General features: G+C 46.0%; 1 protein-coding gene across 1 annotated transcript in view, besides 1 other annotated feature; it reads left to right on the top strand.

Moving 5' to 3' along the window:
• ASIC2 (acid sensing ion channel subunit 2) overlaps positions 1-20,615 on the top strand; it is a 1,143,682-nt gene that overhangs the window by 667,567 nt on the left and 455,500 nt on the right. The window lies entirely within an intron of this gene.
• Positions 19,880-20,380: an enhancer, noted in NCBI's record as "H3K4me1 hESC enhancer chr17:31795840-31796340 (GRCh37/hg19 assembly coordinates)". NCBI's record gives its function as "activates a minimal SCP1, AML or CMV promoter by ChIP-STARR-seq in primed H9 embryonic stem cells {active_cell/tissue: H9 hESC(primed)}" and the evidence as "EXISTENCE:reporter gene assay evidence [ECO:0000049][PMID:30033119]".

The following is a 20,615-nucleotide window of genomic DNA, read 5'->3' as shown; positions in this document are numbered from 1 at the left end:
AGGGGTGGGCAGGAGTCAGAGTGATAGGGCCATGCCAAACCAAGATGCCCATGTCCAAGGATCAGCCAGGGTCAGCCAGATGGTTTCCTTGCAGGATTCTCACTCTAGACTTCTGGACCATCAGGAATGGTATGTGGTCTCTTCTCTTAGGCTGGAAGGGCAGGGACTTTGAAGGCAGAACATTGAAGACACAGTGGCCTAGGGGATCATCTCATCAGGGAGGGGTTGGGACTGTGACCCATGCTACTGGGTCAGACCAGGTGAAGAGTCTCGGGGAACTCAGCATCAGATCCAAGAAGACCCCATCAGAGAGGCCAACTCTGTGCCAAAGTTGTACCATCATGGGGATGGAGCGTGTCATTAGGACTGAAAAAAGGGCAAGGCTGGAGGGCCTGGGAAGTTCACTGTGGAGGTGGGAGATGCCTAAAACTCCTTCTTAATGTGGGTAGGTGGGGCTGTTCTGAGCTAAAGGCTCAGGGTGAGGTAGGGCGTGAGTTTTAGGGATGTGGTAGGGTCATAAAAGAATTCTTTACAGGAGAATCTTTTACTGTGACACTTAAAAATAGTTAAGATGATACATTTTATGCTGTGTGTGTTTTACCATGATTAGAAATGAACATAAAATCCAACTATATATTCACCAAACATAGCAAAAGAACACAAGTACCAAAATAAACACATTTTAGGACTTGCAAATAAAAAGCATCCAAAATAAACACATTTCTGGACTTAAAAATAAAAAAGAATCTTTCACAGAATTTGATAGAGGTGACCCTGATGTGAATGCTAATAATAAAGGATATGCAGTGTGATTTGAAAAATGTTTTTGTAATGTTGGTCGGCCAGCAGAGAAGAAATGAGTTTCCTAACACTGGGGGATGGCCTGTGCGAAGGTGCGGAGGTGAGGAAGTCCCTAATTAGAAGAGCAGTCTGTCTGGAATAGAGGCATGACAGGGAGGCTAAGGAGCACAACGGAAAGCAAACAGGGTGGGGGAGAGTGACGGCGTTTCTAATACTGCCTCTGCCTCTCACTTGGTAAACTGATACTGAGCTTTCTAACTCATAGCTCAGCTCTGTAGAAAAATAGATGCATTTTCTCAATCATTGTCCACAACAACTGTATTAGTCAAGGTTCTCTAGAGGGACAGAATTAATAGGATCTATGTATATATGAAAGGGAGTTTATCACAAGGTAAAGTCCCGTAATAGGCCATCTGCAAGTTGAGGAGCAAGGAAGCCAGTGGTGGATCAGTCTGAGTCCCCAAAACCTCCGAAGTAGGGGAGCCAACAGTGCATCCTTCAGTCTTTTGCCAAAGGCCCAAGAGCCCCTGGCAAACCGCTGATGTAGGTCCAAGAGTCCAAAAGCTGAGGAACTTGGAATCTGATGTTCTAGGGCAGGAAGCATCCAGCGTGGTAGAAAGATGAAGGCTGGAAGACTCAGCAAGCCTGCTCTTCCATCTTCTGCCTTCTTTATTCTGGCCACGCTGGCAGCTGGTTAGATGGTGCCCACCCAGATTGAGGGTTGGTCTGCCTCTCCCAGTGAGTGACTCAAATGTTAATCTCCTTTGGCAACACCCTCACAGACACACCCAGGAATAATGCTTTGCATCCTTCAATCCAATCAAGTTGACACTCAATATTAACCACCACAACAAACCTATAGGAGCTGCTGTGATTGTCCACATTTTACAAATGAAGAGGCCAAAGCTTAGCAAGGTTGTCACTTGCACTAGGTCACATGGCTCATAAATGGAAGGGCCAGGGTTGAAAGTCAGATCCTCTGACTCCAAAGCCAGTGCTCTTAACTGTGCAACCTTAAGGAGATTTCTTAACCTCTCTGAGTCTTGATTTCATCAGTATCAATGTGGGGCCCCTCCTGGCTCTGGCTTTCCTAGTCACCTTGCTGGGATATAACAGGTGGTGATGATGGAGAAGTGATTACTGGAGGACTCGGGATGCCCAGCAGAATGCTCTGAATTTAACCTATTTGGTAAAAGGGAACCATTGCAGGTTCTAGTACTTAGTTTTTAAAAATTCTTCTTGGTCCCAGAAAAAAAATTCTGCTTCACCTGGAATGCTTGTCTGGAAGTGGCTTTCAAAGAAAGCCTCACAAAATCATATCAGATGGTGTTTGTAAAAATCTTATAGGAATAATTAAAAACAAGAACCTCTTCTACTACTGCAGGATGATTTCCAAAGCCAGCCTTTCTGCATCTGCCCCTCTCTTTCCCGCCACACCTCCACCTAGGACTGGGCTGTGGTTGGGTGCTGCGCATCTCCACCCTGACACCTGCCCTCAGAGAGAAAACTCAGCACTGCCCTTGTCCTTCTCACTTGGTGGTTCTCCCTCCTGTCTTCAGAACAACATGCTGAGGTCTGAATGAGGGGAAAGCTGGCCAGTGAGAAGTGGGAGGAACAGCAGTAGCACATTCCCCCATCCTGTGTCACTGCTCAAGGCACTAAGAAGTCAGTGTCCAAGGCCCACAGGTCAACCAGGGAGCCCTTCAGGCTGTTTATGTCTCCTCAGGCCCTGTGATATATTAGGACATTCCTCCAAAACAAGGCTTTAATGAGGTGTAAGTTGTCATCTTGGAGGGTGGAGCAGTACACTCCCCAGTCCTGTCCCTGTAGGGGAATCCCCAACAAGCACTGATGAAGTCTCTTGACCATTGGAGCCAGGGCCGTAAAAGTGATTCGTCCATGCTTTCATTCAACCAGCTTTTATGGAGCTCAAACCGTATGCCAGGTGCTGTACCAGGCTCCAGGAAAAAACGTGAGTAGAGGCAGTTTGATGCAGTGAGTAAGCTGATGGACTCTGAAGCCAGATTGCCTTGGTTCAAAAGCTAACTCTCTCACAACAGCTGTGTGACCTTGCAGAAGTTACTTAACATCTCTGAACTTTGGGGGCATCTATACATAAAATAGGGATCATGCAAATGCCCACAACATAGAGCTAATCTAGGCAAAGCCATGAAAACACTACCCGTAGGTGTCAGCACTAGTCAGGTGTCAACCATCATCTTTATTATGTCTGGGGATTCCTGGGTCAAGGTGAGGGGCAAAGATGATGAGAGACGTTCTAGGAGCCAATGGACAGGTAGTCAGTCTGAGTCAGTGCAAGCTACAGCAAATCAGGAAGGGAGAGAGGGGATGAGCTCTGGGTTGGCAGGTGAAGCAGTGAGCTATAGGCACAGCCGTGAGGCGGGGGCAAGGTGGCAGCAAAGCAGAGGCAGGAAGGGGCATGTGCCCCCTGACACAGTGGACCAGACAGAGCAGGGCCAGTTCTGAGCATGAACTGGGAAGGCTCAAGTCTGGTCACTTCAGCTATTTATTAGCAGCCGTGAATTAGCAGGTTCTCTCGGGACTGGGGTGCACCACTATACACCAAGCTCTGGGTCAGACATTTCACACTGAGTGTTTTATTTAAACTCCAAAATATCCCCCAAGTTCCTGAGTTCTCTTGTACTTAATCTGTCTCCCAGATTGAAGCAAGTTCCTTGAAATGATGAGGCCCTCTGAGAGGCAGGCAAGAAGGCAGCAATTGGAGACTGGATCCCACTTCATTGAGTTTAGGGGAGGTGATAGGGGTCCCGGAGTCTCACTGGCTGTGAAGAAAGATGGAGTGGCCTAAAGGAAATGATTGTGTCAGCATCTCACAATGTATGGGTTTGATGTCATCTAAGCTTAAGTACTTGAAGGATATTGAAGCACATGGAGCCTACTAACTGTATACATTGCTAAGTGGATAAAAAGTAAGTTACAAGACAGTGTGTCCAGTGGGAGCTTCACTGCTCTGAAGTCTCAGCCTCCCCTTCTTGGCCTGGCCAGGGAGGCAGTGCCCTTGGATTCTAGCCCTGATTCTCACTGGCTATTGGCTTGACCCTGGGCAGCCATTCCTAACCATGTCTGCTTTGCACTTTACTCAGGGCTTCCATGGCTGCTACATTCCCTAGGCCCTTTATCCACTCAAGGTCAGTTAGAAAGAGTCTGATGAACTGATGATGAACTCTTAGGAGCCAATAGTCTTAACCTTTTAGAACTATGCTGCTTGGACCTAAGATCAAATCATAGCCCCATGTGACTATGTTGCAGGGCAGGTGGGCCCCAAAGTGGGGCTTAGCCCATGAGGGTTCTTGGCTTCACCCAGGAAAGAATTGAAGGGTGAGCCTGTGGTAGAGTAGAAGAAAACAGCTTTCTTGAAGCAGCAGTGTTACAGCTCCATGATTGCTCCTGCAGAGCAGGGCTACCCCATAGGTGTGCTGACAGTGGCAGCTCAGGGCAGTTTTGCAGTTGTATTTATATCTACTTTTAATTACACGTAGGGGTGTATTATGCAGAATTTCTAGGAAAAGGGTGATAGCTTTTGTGTTGTTGCTATGGAAAGGGGCAGTAACTCCTGGGTGTTGCCATGGCAATGGTAAACTGACATGTCACACTCATGGGCATTTCTTGTGGAAAGCTGCTTCTACCCTGTCCCTGCCTTAGCTAGTCCTCAATTTGGTCCGGTGTCCAAGCCCCACTTCCAGAGTCCAGTCCCACCTCCTACCTCAGTTGGTCTGAGCTGAGATGTATTGTAAATGTTAAATACACAATTTCAAATACTTGGTCCAGAAAAATGTACAATATCTCAGTAAATTTGTTTTATTGGTAACTGGTTGAAATGACAGTATTTTGAATATATTGGGTTGAAGAAAATATATTAAAATTCATTTCACCTGTTAATTTGTAGTCTTTTTCATGTGGCTACTAGACAAAATTATCTGTGTAGTTTATGTCATATTTATACTGGCCAGTGCTGCTGCAGGGAAATGCATTTCAATGGGGATATCATTATTCTTGCCCATAGAAATGTCTTAAATGGGGGCATCTCCCAGAGTGTGGCTTTTGGACACAGGAACTTCCCTATATGCCTTGAATTGGGCTGTATAATATGTTGCTCTTTTTACTTATGAATAAAATGTGTCGGACTATATTAGTTTCCTTTTGCTGCTGTAACAAATCACCACAAACTTAATGTCTTAAAACAACACAAATGTATTCTGTTGTAGTTCTGGAGGTCAGAAGTCTGAAATCAGATTAACTGGGCTAAAGTTAAGACATCATTAGCAGGGCTGTTTCTTCCTAGAAGTTCTGAGAAGAGAATGTGTTTCTTTGCCTTTTTCAGCTTCTCCCCGTTGCCCTCATTCCTTGGCTCATCACTCCTGTCTCTCATCTCTGCTCACATCATCACTTTGCCTTCTCTCTGACCTCCTGTCTCCCTCTTCCAAGGACCCCTGTGATACCACTGGGCCCACCTGGATAACCTAGGCTAATTTCCCCATGGCAAGATCTTTAATGTAATGACACCTGCAAGGGCCCTTTTGTCATGTAAAGTAATACCTGGTTCTGAGGACTAATACGTGGACAATTTGTGGGCTATTATTCAGCCTACCACACTTGCTGATTTCATCCCAGCTTCCAATTTATAGGCCATAAGATAGAGCATGAATAGGCCATAAGATAGAGCATGAATAGTCACCAAACCACAGTAGGATAAGTCATGGCCCTGGAAAGGAAAGTCTTTCTCCTGACTTCAGGACAGTAAAGTCCTATAATTCCAATCTTTGTGCAGAGGAGGCAACAGGGACCCAAAGAGGTTTAGTAACGTGTATGAGCTCACATAGCTAAGAACGGCCCACAATGGGGAGAAACCTCGCTCCACCTGCCAGTGCAGAGCCCCGCCGAGTGAGGCAAGGCAGTTCTTCCTCCTTCCCTTCTTTGTAAAGAGCAGTCCTCTGTGACCTTGTCTGAGGATAGAGCCCACTTGCTAAGACCACCTTCAGGTTGATGGCATTCCAGCTCCTTCGGAAGCAGTCCAGATGTGTGGCTGTATCGGGGGACCCATTGTGACAAGACTTGGGCAAAACTGCAATCAAAGGAGCAATGGAAAACTGATTAAAAGCAGATGTTGGGCTTGATGGAGCCCACACTGCAATTCACAACATGCCAGGGCCGGTGATGCTGGTTTTATTAATCAGGGATGGAAGGAAGTAACGGGCTGGAAGAGTCAGGAGGCCGCGTAGATCTGTGTGGCGTGGGGATGCAGGAGGCCCACTCAGCCACAGCTTTTCTTCTCTGAAAGGTCTTTCTTCAGCCTAAAGACTTCCCTCCCGCTTCTGCCTCTTTGCCATCTCTCCCCATTCTCTCCGCCTCATTCATCTCTGTCCTTCCTAGTCACTTATTTTTAGTCATGTGAGCAGATGATTCCCCATTCACTGGGGAAATGGAGTCAAGGAAAAGAAAACACTTCATTTTAAGGAACAAGGAGATTTTGTTGCGGTGTGTTTCCACCATCTGTTCAATCACAATTCTCATTGCCAGGCCTGTCTTGAACAGGTGTGTCCGAGAGAAGGCTGGCAAGTCGCCCTCTCAGGGCCTGCCTGGGAAGGTTGGCATTGGGGGTGATGGGGTAGTGTGGGAAAAGGATGCAGAACAAGGGCACAGCTGGGGTTAGGAGTTAGAGGACCTGGGTTCAAGTCCTAGACCCAGTGTCTATTCACTGTGTGACCTTGGACAAGTCACTGAAATCCTGACCCTCAGTCTCCTTGTCTGTGGAATGGAGATTATAGCAGATATCCCCATCTCCCAGGGCTGCTGAGAGAATCAGATGAGAAAATGAAGGTGAACATATTTTTTGAATGATAAATGACTTCTCGAGAATATGGGATATTACTGGGAATTGGCACAAGATAGGGGATGCAAATCCAGTCCAAGTCTAAGATTAGGCCTGGTTAGCAGAAGATCTGAAACACTTAGGGTTGAGTTAGGTTTGTGGTGCAGAAATCAAGTGAGCTGTTAGGAGCAAAGTGGCAGAAGGTCATATGAACAGAGGGAACAGCATGGGTTTTTGCCCATGTTTGACTAGAGGCAAGTGAATACCATGCATCCTGCAGTAGACCAGAGTGTACAATGGCTGAGATGAGTCTTCAGAGGCCCAGCAGGCTGAGTCTCAACAACCACATGGAAAAAATCTGGACATCATCCATGGACAAGACAGTCATGGCAGAGGGTTCAAGGTGGGTGACATGATCCAATTTGCATCAGAGCAATCTGGCTGACTGGAGCAAAGAGAGGACTGGAGGAGGAAACCACATGAGAGGAGAGACCAGAGCAGCAGAGAGCTGAGGGAATGTGGTCATGGATATCAGGAGAAGAGTGTTTTCTAAAGAAAGGAGAGGGCAGCAGGTCAGTCATTGCTAAGAGGACAGGTGCTATCGGCATAAAATGTATGCACTGTACTTGGCAAAAATGAGGTTATGAAGGGAAGGGCAATTTCCATGGGAGGGTGAAGCCAAGTGGCAGGGGATGGAGGCATGGATGGGAGGTAATGGAGCGGCGACAAGGCTGAGGCAGCTCGTTCAAGGCCATGTGGATAGGGGAGATAAGGCACAGAACTCTAGCCCAAGGAAAAGGTGCACCAGGTCAAGAGGTTTTCACTGTGGTTTTGTTTTGTTTTTGTTTTAAATGGTTTAAAAAAACCTTGAGCAGGTTTAAATGCAAGTGTAATGAATCAATAGAGGTGTAGAGGTTGAAGGAAGGGAGAAATTATTCAACGACTATTTCTCAAACATCTCATGTGTGCTCAGTACTGTTTTAGGCACTGGGGACACAGCAAGGACAAAGATTTGTGGACTCTTTCTTGTGAATGGATGATCAATGGAGCAACCTCCCCACAGAGGGAGGAAACATTGGGATGCAGAGCACAGGTCAACAAAGACAAAGGTGAAAAAGAGCACAAACACAGGTTAATTTGTAGGTGTTGTGCCAGGCAGTTAAGGGAGTTTCTGTCTGATGATCTGCTAACTCATCTGTTGAGAGTCAGGTGGGAGGACAGGAAGAGAGAAGTTTAGAAGAGAGTTGTGAAGATTTGAAATAACCACTATGAAGAGTAAGCACGCGTGAGAAAAAGAGATGGCCAGGGTAACCTCAAACAGGCAGCATTTCAGGCTTAGGAGGCATTGGAAATCATGAATTCACAAAGGGACACACCTGCAGCATTTACCCTCAGCAACTCAGGCACCAGAAAAGGTGAAAGGTGTTCAATGAATTGTGCAAGATGGGCACTTTGCAGGACAGGCACAAGAGAGATGAAGACAAGAACAAGGAAAGGTTGGTGGCTGATGATGACTAGTGGTGTCCAAGACAGAGAGGGGAGGAATTAAAAACTGGGTGACAGAAGACAGTTGAGAGGTCAAGAACTGAGCATCTTAATGAGGTCAAAGAGCAAACCTGGAGAACTAAGTGAGGGACCAGGAGGGAAAGGAAGTATGGTTGCAGTGGAAGAGAAGGAGGCATGGGTGTTGGATGCTGCAGGTGGAGCCTCTCCTGGTGATGGTCAGGTCCAAGGTGTGGCCTTGAGAGTGGGTGGCTGAAGCAGAGAAGAGGGAAGTCTTTGGGGTAGAGGGTTTCTACAGTCCTTCGGGAGGATGGCTGGGGTGGGGATAAGGAGCCAGAATGAATCAGATGCCTAAACTCTCCATACCACCTGGCGAGCAGGTCTTTATAGAAAGTAAGGAGATGGTCAATGGTCCCCCCTTCCCCTTGCACTCAGGAAAAGCCCAGCTCCTCTCCTGGTCTTGGAGATATGACAGGTACCCAGCCTCCCTCTCCAGCCTATTTCTTGCTTTCTGGCTTCCCTATTTCTCTGCTCCACCACCTCATGGACTTTTTCCAATTCCTCGTTTATGAAGGCTCCTTTCTCCAGACTGCCATGCAGTTTGCTTCCCTGCAGACTCCACCCCAGTCTCTTCTCTTGTGTGGCTCCTTCCTGTCCTTCAAGTCTCAACTGGAATTGTTACCTCCTTGGAGAAGACTGAGCCCCACCCCTCCAAATCTGTTCCTCATGTTACTATTGCTCACAGCACCCTGTTCTTTTTCTTTATGTTTATTTCTTTGTCTATTTAGTGTCTGTCTCCCCCATGAGAAAGGAAACCCCACGTGGGCAGGAACCATGACACTTTTGTCCTTATATCCCCAGCTCCTTGCAAAGTGCCTGGCACACAATGATGCCCAGTACAAACTTGTTGAATGAATTTTAAAATGGAATGGGAAGATGGCATATGCCTCAAAAGATTGAGATTTGTTTTAGACATGGGTGGATTTATGGTCTGGGAATGGCTCTGGGAGTGAGGAGCATGCTTTAGAACCCGGAGATTTCTGGGGTATGAAGGCAAAGCGTTCACCATGGGAAGGAGGGGCCTCAGGGGATCACCCCTATTATTTAGCACAAGGAAGCAAAGGGGAGGAGGAGGTTGAAGATATGGAGGGGATGTTTACCATGAACCAGGGTTCCGGGAGCACACAGTTTTAAAGATTGGAAAGGAGGCCCACAGGGAAAGGGTGGATTGGGGAGGGGGGCACAGGGCCTTGCTCAGATGAAAGCTTAGGAGAGGGTCCCTTGTCTCCTTGCGAAGGCCTGGTCACAGCCTAATCAATCATGGTCCTAGCCAGGCCTACACCATCCAGCTGGGCAAGCAAGCCCCAGCACGGGTTATGCCCAGGGCTTTGACTGCATGGCTTTTGTGAATGTGGAAGGTATTTGGCCCTGGGAAGCACCCCAGAAGGCCCACTGGTGAAGAAACACCCCCATCCAGTGTTCCCTGCAATTCCTCCAGCTCCTGCAAACACAGCAAAGAAACTTAGCTGAACACTGTTGTGTGCAAGACAAACAATTTCTTTCTAACTAACTGAGTCCAAACAAGGTCTGGCAAACATCTCCAGAGACTGGGGCCACACATGGCCACAAGAAACCCAGAACATTCACCAAAACATCACCAAATCTTATCATTTAGGCTCTTAAAAAAAAATCTCTTTCCCTCAACAAATATAGAAACAGCTCAACACATGGTTTTAAAAGCTCCTAGGGGCCGGACGTGGTGGCTCATGCGTGTAATCCCAGCACTTTGGGAGGCTGAGGTGGGCGGATCACCTGAGATTGAGAGTTTGAGACCAGCCTGACCAATATGTAGAAACCCCATCTCTATTAAAAACACAAAAATTAGCTGGGCGTGGTGGTGCGCACCTGTAGTTCCAGCTACCCAGGAGGCTGAGGCAGGAGAATCGCTTGAACCCGGGAGGCAGAGGCTGCAGTGAGCCGAGATCACACCACTGCACTCCAGCCTAGCAACAGAGCAAGACTCCGTCTCAAAATAAAATAAAATAAAATAAAACTCCTGGAAGTCATGGTGAACAGCAACCCATCCATGTACTTCCTAACAGTATTATCTTGACATGCAACCTGAACATGAAAGTTTTCTTCTAATGAAGTCCATTTTCATTAGTGGTTCGAGAATAACTTTCAAAAGAATTCTGTTTAGCAGAAGCATCTAGGAACACAGAGTAAAAACAAAGATTTTAATCCTGATCTCTCTCCACAATCCTATCACCTGATTGCAGAACCTTGGGCAAATCAATTCTCCTAGCTGGGCCTCAGTTTCCCCATCAGAAAATAAAATGGTAGAACTAGGGGACCCAGGGACTCTTCCAGCTCTCACATGCTGAGACTCTCTGGTCTCCAGTAAAACGGCTCCCATGGAATCATTCTAGAGCCACCCTGGCTTTGAAAACAGCTGGCCCTGGCAGACCAATCTAATTTTCTCCCGAAGGATTGACAGAAACTGTGCAAATAAGAGAAGCGACCTCTCAGGCCACCTAGAAGCCTTTCCAGTCAGTCTCAGATAGCATGTTCATTCATGAGCAAAGGCAGAAATGGTTTGCACATAGGACTTTTCAGCCTTAGCAGTTGGGGAGACCTCTGTGCTATTTACGGAGACCAAGAACGGTAGTTCGTGTTTGATGTTACATTGAAGTGAAAAATAAAGGGAAGTTAAACTTGGATTCCCCAGATGCCCCTTAAGCCCCCTAGCCCCTGGGCGCCCAAAGGGACACATGAACAGTTTACCCCTAAGGGGAGCAAGAGCTCTCACAGTTTGGCCAGTTGTCAGCTGTGCCCCCTCTTGGAAGCTCTGTCATCCACCTCCCTTGAAGGTAGCTCTCCGCCATTGGTGCTGTCATTGGGATATTGCCCAGCTAGGCTGCCATGCCTGACTCTGAGCCCTCACCTACCTAATAAGCTACCTTGTTCCCCTTGGGTCAGTAGGCATTTGGCAAAAGATTCTTGGTGGCATCAGGAAAAGCATCAAGATCATTTTTTTAAATCACAAAGTTACCTGCAGTTTGGCCTCTGACTAGCTACTCCTGCTTCATCCCAGGCTACTTTTCCAACCACAACCCTGTAGAATAATCAGTCTGGATTACTTGGCACATCCTCAAATGCCCTGAGCTGCCTCCAGCCTCTATGTCTTTCTCTGCCTGAAATGACTTTCCTTATACTTTGCTTGGCTGACTATAACTCATCCTTAAGACAATGCACAGCTTCCAGCAGGAAGCCTACCCTGACCATCCCTAGTGTGGGACACCATGGCCTGAGCTTCTCCATGTGAATGGCTGTCTTCCCTATTCAAGAGTGAGGTGCTTGAGGGCAGGGACGTGGTCATGTTCATGTGGACACTCAGTGTCTAGGAGGCAGTAGGGACATGGTAAGGATCTAGTGAAAGAAGAAGCACATGCATAAATGAATGAATTCCCCTTGCCCTCTTAAGTCAGCCACTATTTAAAGCACAGACTACAGAAGGTGAAGGCAGGAAGAAACTTAAGAGACATCTTAATGCTATGCCTTCATTTATACTATGAAGACAGTGAGGCCCAGAGAGGAAGTCATGTTAGTTCAAGCCCCATAGCCAGGCAGGGACAGAGCCAGAGCTAGAATCTCACCTCACTGATTCAGGGCTATTTCTACCACACCATGTAGCTTCCCAATGTATTTATATTGTCCTGAAATTTGAAGTCTAGAAATTTTAAAAAATGAAGTTCTAATAGGGATTTTTAGATGTTACTGGCAGGAGTGTAAATAGACATCAATTTGGGGGAGAAATTTGGTGATATTTTGCATGGATAGATAGCCAACAGCATGTGACCCAGCAATTCTGAGTATATATATGTTTAAGTTTAAATGTCCTTCAATAAGGAGGTGGATAAATAAGTTGTGATAAAGCTATACAATGGAATAAGATTTAGCAACCAAAATTAATGAAATAGAGCCAGATAGACAGATAGATGTATAGTATACATAGTATATATACACACACATATACATAGTATACACACACTGAGATTATATAGTAGTATAGGCTTGTTCTTGGACTACTGTTTTTGGTCTCCAAAAATAACGTAGAGGTCTCCCCAACTGCTGAGGCTGAAAAGTCCTATATGCAAACCATTTCTGCCTTCACTCATGAACGGGCATGCCACACGAGACTGACTGGAAAGGCTTCTGGGTGGCATGAGAGGTCGCATCTCTTATTTGCACAGTTTCTGTGCACAGTCCTTCGGGAGAAAATTAGATTGGTCTGCCAGAGCCTACTCTTTTCATCTGGGCCTCCCACAGGGACACATGAACGATTTGTCCCTGAGGGTAGCAAGCACTCTCACCATTTGGCCAGCTCTCAGCTGCACCCCCTCTTGGAAGTTCTGTCATCCACCTCCCTTGAGGGTAGCTCTCTTCCATTGGTGCTCAGTCCAAGAACTGACACACACACACACACACACACACACACACACCCCTGTACATATATATATATATATATATATATATATATATGCACACACACACTTTGCAAAAGGTTTTCTATATGAGTTGAAGGATTTTTTTAAATGGCAGCATTGCTAATAATAGCAAAGAATGAAAAGTTTAAATGTCCATCGATAAGGAAGTGGATAAATAAGTTGTGATACAGTCATACAGTGGAATAAGATTTAGTAACCATAATTACTGAAATAGAGCTAGACATGTCACCATAGTTGTGGCTCAAAAGCGTAATGTTGATTATAAATGGGATGGTGGAGGTCGCAGTGATGGTGGTCACGTATTCCTAAGGTCTCTGGGACTGAGAATAGGAGAAACCCTCCTGGCATGATATACCATAGGTCCTCCGGTTAGGTCCTTGCTAGAATGGTTTCTATGGAACTGGCACAGTGTTCTGTGCCACATACTTAAGCGTGTGGACTATGAAGTCTAAAGTCAAAGCTGCTCCAGAATTCAGTGATGTCTGGTGACAGTTTCATGCTTTTCCTTACTTAGTGAACAGGGCTACCAAATAATAACCTCCCAGCCTTTCACTTTTCCTCTCATGATGTCGGTGTAAGTCTGGAAATTTTGATAATTATAATGATGCTAGACGTGGAGAATGGATCAAAATTGCAAGAGAATTGCCAGTGTTTATGGGCAGCGGCTGGAGATCATCAGATGGCAAGCATTCACCCCAGGAAGGGAGGAGGAGACCTCCAGGGGATGGGGATGGGGGAGGGCTGCAGCAGCCACCTTTGCTTCTGTTTCAGATAAGGCCGCTTGCTTTCCCTCATAGCAAGATTACAGGGATGCGAGCAGCCACGCTGTTACACTGAAAAAGTGAGGAGCTGCAAAAGACTTGGCAATTACTGCAATTTTGGGTTCTTATGAAATTTCAGTGAAAGCCACTCTTCTTAAATCAAGAGTGAACCAGACATCGTTACTTAACCCCCATCATTAGAAGGAAGTCAATAAAAAGTCCTAAGACTATGTCCAACCAACAAAGCCAAAACAACAAAACATTCACATAACGTTGAGTGCAAAAAGCAAGATTTTAAAAGGATATTTATAATGTAATGGTAATTATTTTAAAGAAATTTTAAAGCAGTGATATCTAGGAAAAGTGTAAAAAACACAGATAGGTGAACACTCACTAACTTCAAAATAGTGTTACAAGGAGGAGTAGAAGTACAACATACGATTCCATTGTATCTGCAATATTTTATTTCTTTTTTTTTAAAAAAAGACCTGAAACAAATATGGTAAAATTTCAACATTTGTTAAATACTGGGGGGTGGGGATGTGGGTGTCTAATTTTTACTCTCTGTAAGTTTCTGAATGTTTAGGTAGGTTATGACTTTTCGAAGGGCAGCAGAGAGTTCCAGGAAATGAGGAGGGGAAAGAGTGTCTCAGGCTGGGTTGGGGAGTGGAGATGAAAGATAGCAGTTCAAAGGCCAAGAAGAGGGTGTTGAGTATTTAGGAAAATGTGCACTTCCTAGCATTGGTGGAGGTAGGAGAGTAACAAAAAACCATCCTGGAGAGGATTGGAGGTGGACAGCCTGGAGGCAGGACGATCAACTCCAGCCCTTTGAATTGGAGAGTGCAGCGCAATCAGGTGAGATAGAAAGGACTGGTGGGAATTGCTCACTTCCGGCTAGGGCTCCCTAGTCCTACCTCTAACCATTCTAAGGTCACACGCAACCATATTTAGTTATACCCCACACACTGTACATACTGCATTTGTCCCTCCAAACCCACTCTCCACCCTCTGTCACCTTGCCCTCTGCCATAGGAGGCTGGCCTTTGTGGACTAAATCAACAGGCTCCCTTGCCCTTGAGCTTCTGGTCAGGCCAGACAACAGGGAGCACCCAAAAATGTCAGAGGGAAGAAAGGGCAAAGTCAGGCTCCCTCCTTGGGAAGTTACCTTGGGCTGGTTGTGCGCCTGCCCCTCTCAAGGTGGCCTGCTGTGCACGCCCCTCTGTTGCTAGGTTCCAAGATCAGTTCTCTTCCGTTCCCCCTTGAATCCCTGGACTTAGAGGTGGTGACAGCCATGCTGCTGCTGGTTACACCCATTCCTTTCTCACTAGTCCCTTTGTAAAGAGGCCTTGCTTAAATTACCTTACTCTTAGTATGCCATCTGTTTCTTTTCTTTTTTTCTTTGGCGGGGGGATGCAAGGAGTCGTGCTCTGTGACCCAGGCTGGAGTGCAGTGGTGCAATCTCAGCTCACTGCAACCTCCACCTCCCAGGTTCAAGGGATTCTCCTGTCTCAGCCTCCCGAGTAGCTGAGACTACAGGTGTGTGCCACCACACCCGGCTAATTTTTGTATTTTTAGTAGAGATGGGGTTTCACCATGTAGTCCAGGCTGGTCTTGAACTCCTGACCTCAGATGATTCGCTTGCCTCAGCCTCCCAAAGTGCTGGGATTACAGGCGTAAGCCACCACATCCAGCATGCCATCTGTTTCTTGTTAGGACTCTGTCTGACTCAAAGTCCTGTCCTCCATTAACCTCTGAACAGCTCAAGGACAGAGTAGAGGTCTGATTTATCTTTGTATACCAGGTACCTGGCTAGAAATCTGGCACATTTTGCCTGACCAAAACATAATTGACGAATGAATTTTAAAATGGTATTAATGAATGAATGGGTGAAGGGGGTGCCCTCATGGGTACGTGATGGGGGGTGGACAGGTCTTGGGATCTTTGGAGCAAAGAAAAAGGTGGTTTCAGGAGAAAGAAGATCTGGAGAAAGAAAAAATGTGAAAGGATAAAAAGAAAACCTCACAATACTGGAACACCTGGAGCTTGGCAGGAACAGGGCTAGGTTCCTCATTTATTTCTCATTCATGTCCAGAACATCATGAGGTACTCAACCCATAGACAGGAACCAGAGTTTCAGAGAGATTCAGTAACTTGCCCAGCACAATGTTCTCGTGTTCATTCCACCTCTCCAGGTCATGGGCAAATCTGATCTACTTCCTAACTCAGCCTGCAAGCTCTTCCTTAAGTGTCCAGAAGCCCCGCGTGGTACTCATTCCTGCTTGATGCATCCCCAAGTCCCCGCCTCCAAAGGCTGGCATTTCTTGGCTCAGGGGGTGCCTTGTCTAGGCTGTCATTTATAGCAGAGTACCTGGGGTCTGATCTCCATTCATTCTGCATCCTTCATCTCAGGAATAAATGTCACTGGCATTATTACAGTGGTAAGCCGATGGGATGTTTATCCACCCAGTGCTTTTCAAACCAATTAGGTGGATTTAGTGCTTGGATGAAGGCTGCAGAAACCAGCATTCTCGCCTGGAGAAGGAACCGAACAGATGGATATTATGCCATAGTCCCCCATGCCAGTCCCTGCCCCAGGGCCTCCTTGGCTAGAATCAGATCCTTCCTGCTCAAGAAATTAGCCTCTTTTTCTTTACAGCCTGATCAAAGCCAGCAGGAGCCAAAGTAAACAGGCAGCAAGATGGTACTTATTGATTATTGCATGCCTATGGCCAGACTCTGTGCTCCCGGCTGACTCATTTATTCATCGTGGCAACCATACCAGGAAACTATTAGTATTCCCATTTTACAGCTGAGAAAACTGAGCTCATTTGCTGAGCTATTTGCTTGGGAAGTACAACAAATAGGCCAAGATTACCACAGTTTTGAGGCCAGGATTAGAAGTCAAGATTAGGGCCCAGAATTCCTGGACTCCAAACCCCCAGCCAAAACCCCACCACCCCACCAAACTCATCCCTTGTCAGTTACCAGAGTGGCTTCAACATCTCACCTCCTTCCTGGCCCCTGTGTGCCCCATGTTTTCTTGTTTCCTTCCTTCTCTAGGCAAGCACCTCCATCCAGCCAGAAGCCAACGTGGAGTAATCATTCCATTGCCAAGATGTTCTGCAGGCTCTCCCCAGGCAGCCTGTCTGGATCACCCATGGTTATCATCTCCACTTTGGGTGAAGAGATCAAAGGATCTCATTAAGAGGCAAGAATCTGGCAAGGTCAAAGGAAGATGAGTTTTAGAGCTCAGACAGACCTGGTTTCTGCTCCTAGCTGTATAATGACTGTATAAAATTGCAAAACTCACCTCTCAGCATGTGCATCCTCCCCTGTAAGATGGTGCCATAATACCTACTTTCTAGGGTTGTTTTAAAGATTAAAATGGTAACTTACACAATGTGCCCAGTGCATGGTGGGTGTTTAGCAAGCAATCCCTGTTAAAAAGTCCCTGGTGTGGTCAGGGACAGTGGCTCACACCTGTAATCCCAGCACTTTGGAAGGCCAAGGTGGGTGGATCACCTGGGGTCAGGAGTTCGAGACCAGACTGGCCAACATGATGAAACCCCATCTCTACTAAAAATAAAGAAATTAGCTGGGCATGGTGGTGAGCACCTGTAATCCCAGCTACTTGGGAGGCTGAGGTGGGAGAATCGCTTGAACCCAGGAGGTGGAGGTTGCAGTGAGCCAAGATCACGCCATTGCACTCCAGCCTGGATGACAAGAGCAAAACTCCGTATCAAAAAAAAAAAAAAAAGAAAAGTCCCTGGTGTAAATTCCTGGGTTCAAATTTCAGCTCTGTAAGACCTTGAGTGAGTTGCTTAATCTTTCTAAGCCTCAGTTTCCTCATTTGTCAAATGAGGAAATACTATCACTTCATACACCTGTTGAGAGTGTTTCATTAAATTAGATAATGCATATAAATGGTTTAACACAGTGGTTGGCATACAGAAACTATTCAATAGATATTTGTTATTAATACTATTAATATTATCAAAATCTTCATTGTGGTTAAATAAGAAATGTGACACATTTGCCTCCTCTTAATTAACACATATTTCTTGTGTTATGCTTAGATATTGTTATTCTCTCAAAAGTCTGGCCATTCCTGCGGAGAAAAGGCAGTATCTCCTTCCATAAAGATTCCTTCTTTCCAGTAGCCAAAAATGATTACTCCCCCCTCTGCACTGTCATTGTACAATACTAACAACATAGTATTGTGGTATAGCTATTTACAGTATGTGTGTCTCCTCTGCCAATAACTGTGAGCAAATCAAGTACAGGCGATCAAATCCAATTTATCTCTTCATTTCTAGCATCTCACCTCTTACTATTTCTAACACAAATGATTTGACTCAAAAAAAGAAGAAAAGAAATAATTAATGAAATCCCACAATATAAGGCCTATGTTGCTGAGTTTCTAAAGAGCAGGTGTCATCAGTCGACAGCTAACCCATTCAAATGACCAAGTCCCATGGCCAGTCAGTGAGCTCAACAATCCCAACTAGGTAATTTCTCCTAACACAAAAAGGTCTTAGAAGAGTTCTCTCACACTAACGATCACAAATTGCTCCTGTGAGCAATATTTTTTTTCAAAAATAAAGCTGACCAAAAACACGTAAAGGACAAACGTGAGCCAAAGCCATTGTCTGAATCTATCCACAGTGAGTATTGGAGAGAATTACACAGAACATGCTCAGACCTCCATTGTTCTCTGAGCTACCTGGCCTGGTGTGACCAAACCGTATCTTTGCTGAGCACAGGTGGATTTGTCAGGGGTTAGACTCAGAGGCAGAAGATAAAAAGATCCAGAATACATTCCTGAAAACCCCTAGGCAGGGGAAATGATGTGCAAGATTCAGGAGAGTTATACAGATTTGATGTAGAAACAGAAACATAACTGAGAAGCAGGGCCCACAGGGGAAGTAGAGTCAGGTGGAAGCAAGTACAGAGACTACAGGTGAATGCTGTGAACTCCTCTGGCATGTCCTTATTTCACCTGTATGGGCAGGTAGTTTCAAGGTGATTGGGTGTGTGTGATTTCTGAAAGGTCCAAGATAGAGAAGCATGCATTTGTTTTCAAAAGCATTTCCAATCAAGGGCACCTCTTAGCTCTGAGTCCCACTATCCCAGCAAGAACTGAAGAGCAGGTGATGGCTTTAGTGATCACAGTGATCCACAGACTCATAGCATCAGCATCACCTGAGAAGGAATTAGAAATGCAGAATCTCAGGCCTCACTCCAGACCCCTGAATCAGAATGTTTGAGGGAAAAGTCCAGGAATCTGTATTTTAACAAGATCTCCAGGAGATTTTTTAAGCCTGCTAAAGCGAGGAAATGGTTTAGTATATTTGGCTCTTAACCAAAAACGCTCATCAGACTCACCTGGGGGCTTTATCACTATGCAAGCATGCAGGTCCCATGCCCAGGGCTCCTGAAACAGAGGGTCTAAAAGGGATCTGGTCACAGGCAAATTACATGTTTCCTTGGTGCTTTAGAAGTGCAGATTAAGTTTCCAAGCATTAGTTTAGAGACTTGTCCATTGGTTTAAGACCCACGCCCACAGTTTATGGTGTCCTGGCTGGAGTCTGCTATTACCCTCAATTACAACTCTCCTACATGGCCTAGTTCAGACACCAGCTGGTCTGTGAATCCCTTCCTGACCTCACTAGTCCACATGAGTCATTCCCAGCTCTGAGTCTCTGCAGCTGCTCCATGCATGTTCCCCATTTCAGTGCACATTCCATTCTGCTTTGTATTATGCATTATTACTGGTTGTGCATTTGTCCCCCTAACTAGATGTTAGCTGCCCCCGCTGACCCCCAAAGTCCAAGCTGTTACTCATCTTGTTTTCCTATAACACCTACCATAATGCCTGGCACATTGTAGGTCCACAATACCTTAGCTGCTATATTGAAATTATTGCAAAATCCAAATTCTTCACTCTCTATCCCCGAGGTTAAGTAGATATCAGGGAATTGACCATATTTCCTCTTCAAGAGTGAAGTATGGGCTTCCCTGTATACTTTTTAATATGGTATCACATCAGCTCCCTCAGCTAACCCTGAAGGGAAGTATGGGTGCCATTATTATGACAATGTCATTCCAGGAGCTCTTGTTCCTCTGTTCAGGGACACAGCTAATGAGTGAGAGTCGAGTCCACAGCTGAGACTCTTTGCCATTGTGTCTTTTGATTCTCTGCTGGCTCCAGAGGGTCCATGCAAGGATTACTCATGATGGTCACGGTGTCTGCTGGAGTTCCTGCCTGTACCTCCGTGTTCCTCTTCCTGCAGCTTTAGGAGTAACTGGAAGCTAGAGGGTGGGCCTAACAAGAATCCCATGGTGGTCTGTGTCCAGGTGCTTGTGTGCTGTGGAACCTGCAGGGCCTTAGGCCCAGCTGCACAGGCCAGGTCAGGACCCCTGCCTACTGCCCCATTCCTCATGGTCTCTGCCCTTGGGTTGGCCTGGCTCCCTGCCCTGAAGCACAGCCCGCCTAGCCTAAGCCCACACACTGGGCTTTGTCCACCCCAGTCTGTGCTCCATGGGTCTCGACGCTGCTCCTTGCACTGCAGCCCTGTCTCTAGCTGTGGCCTGGTTCTAAGGCACTCCATAGTACCTGTCTTTGCCAAGCGCTTCCTTCCACCATGTCTTACCCACTGCTTAGGCCCTTCTGGGTTGGCAATGCCAGAAAGCATCCTGCCAACTTTGCATACCCACTTAGGTATTGCAAACAACTCTTGGCTGCCTCCCTTCTCTGGGGCCCAGGCCTCCGCCAGGCTCTTTCCGTAAACTACCCTGACCTCCTTCCCTTATTCACTAACTTGTTGCATATGCCCAGCATTCCCCATTGTCCAGTCCGCAGTGTCCATGTTTTTAGCAGATTCCTGATCCTGCCATTAGCCGTACCCTGAGAGAAAGTCAAGAGCCCTTCACTCTGCAAGCTCAGCAATGAATTTGCAATCAAAAAACTTGAATTTGACACCTGACTTTGACTTTTACCAGCTGTGTGCCCTTAAAGAACATTGCTTCTTATTTTTTTAACCCTCAGTTTTTCTTCACCTGTTTAAGTGAGAAGTATGTATGTGTGTGGGGGGTGGGGTGGGGGTATACATATATACAAATATATATAATTTATATTATAAAGTTGTGGTGAGGATTAAATGAGATAATATGTGAAGAGTTACATCATAA

This window comes from Homo sapiens, chromosome 17 (assembly GCF_000001405.40).
Source record: "Homo sapiens chromosome 17, GRCh38.p14 Primary Assembly".
Classification (NCBI taxonomy): Eukaryota; Metazoa; Chordata; class Mammalia; order Primates; family Hominidae; genus Homo; species Homo sapiens.
Note: the sequence above shows the minus strand (reverse complement) of the source record. Positions and strands in the feature narration are given on the sequence as shown.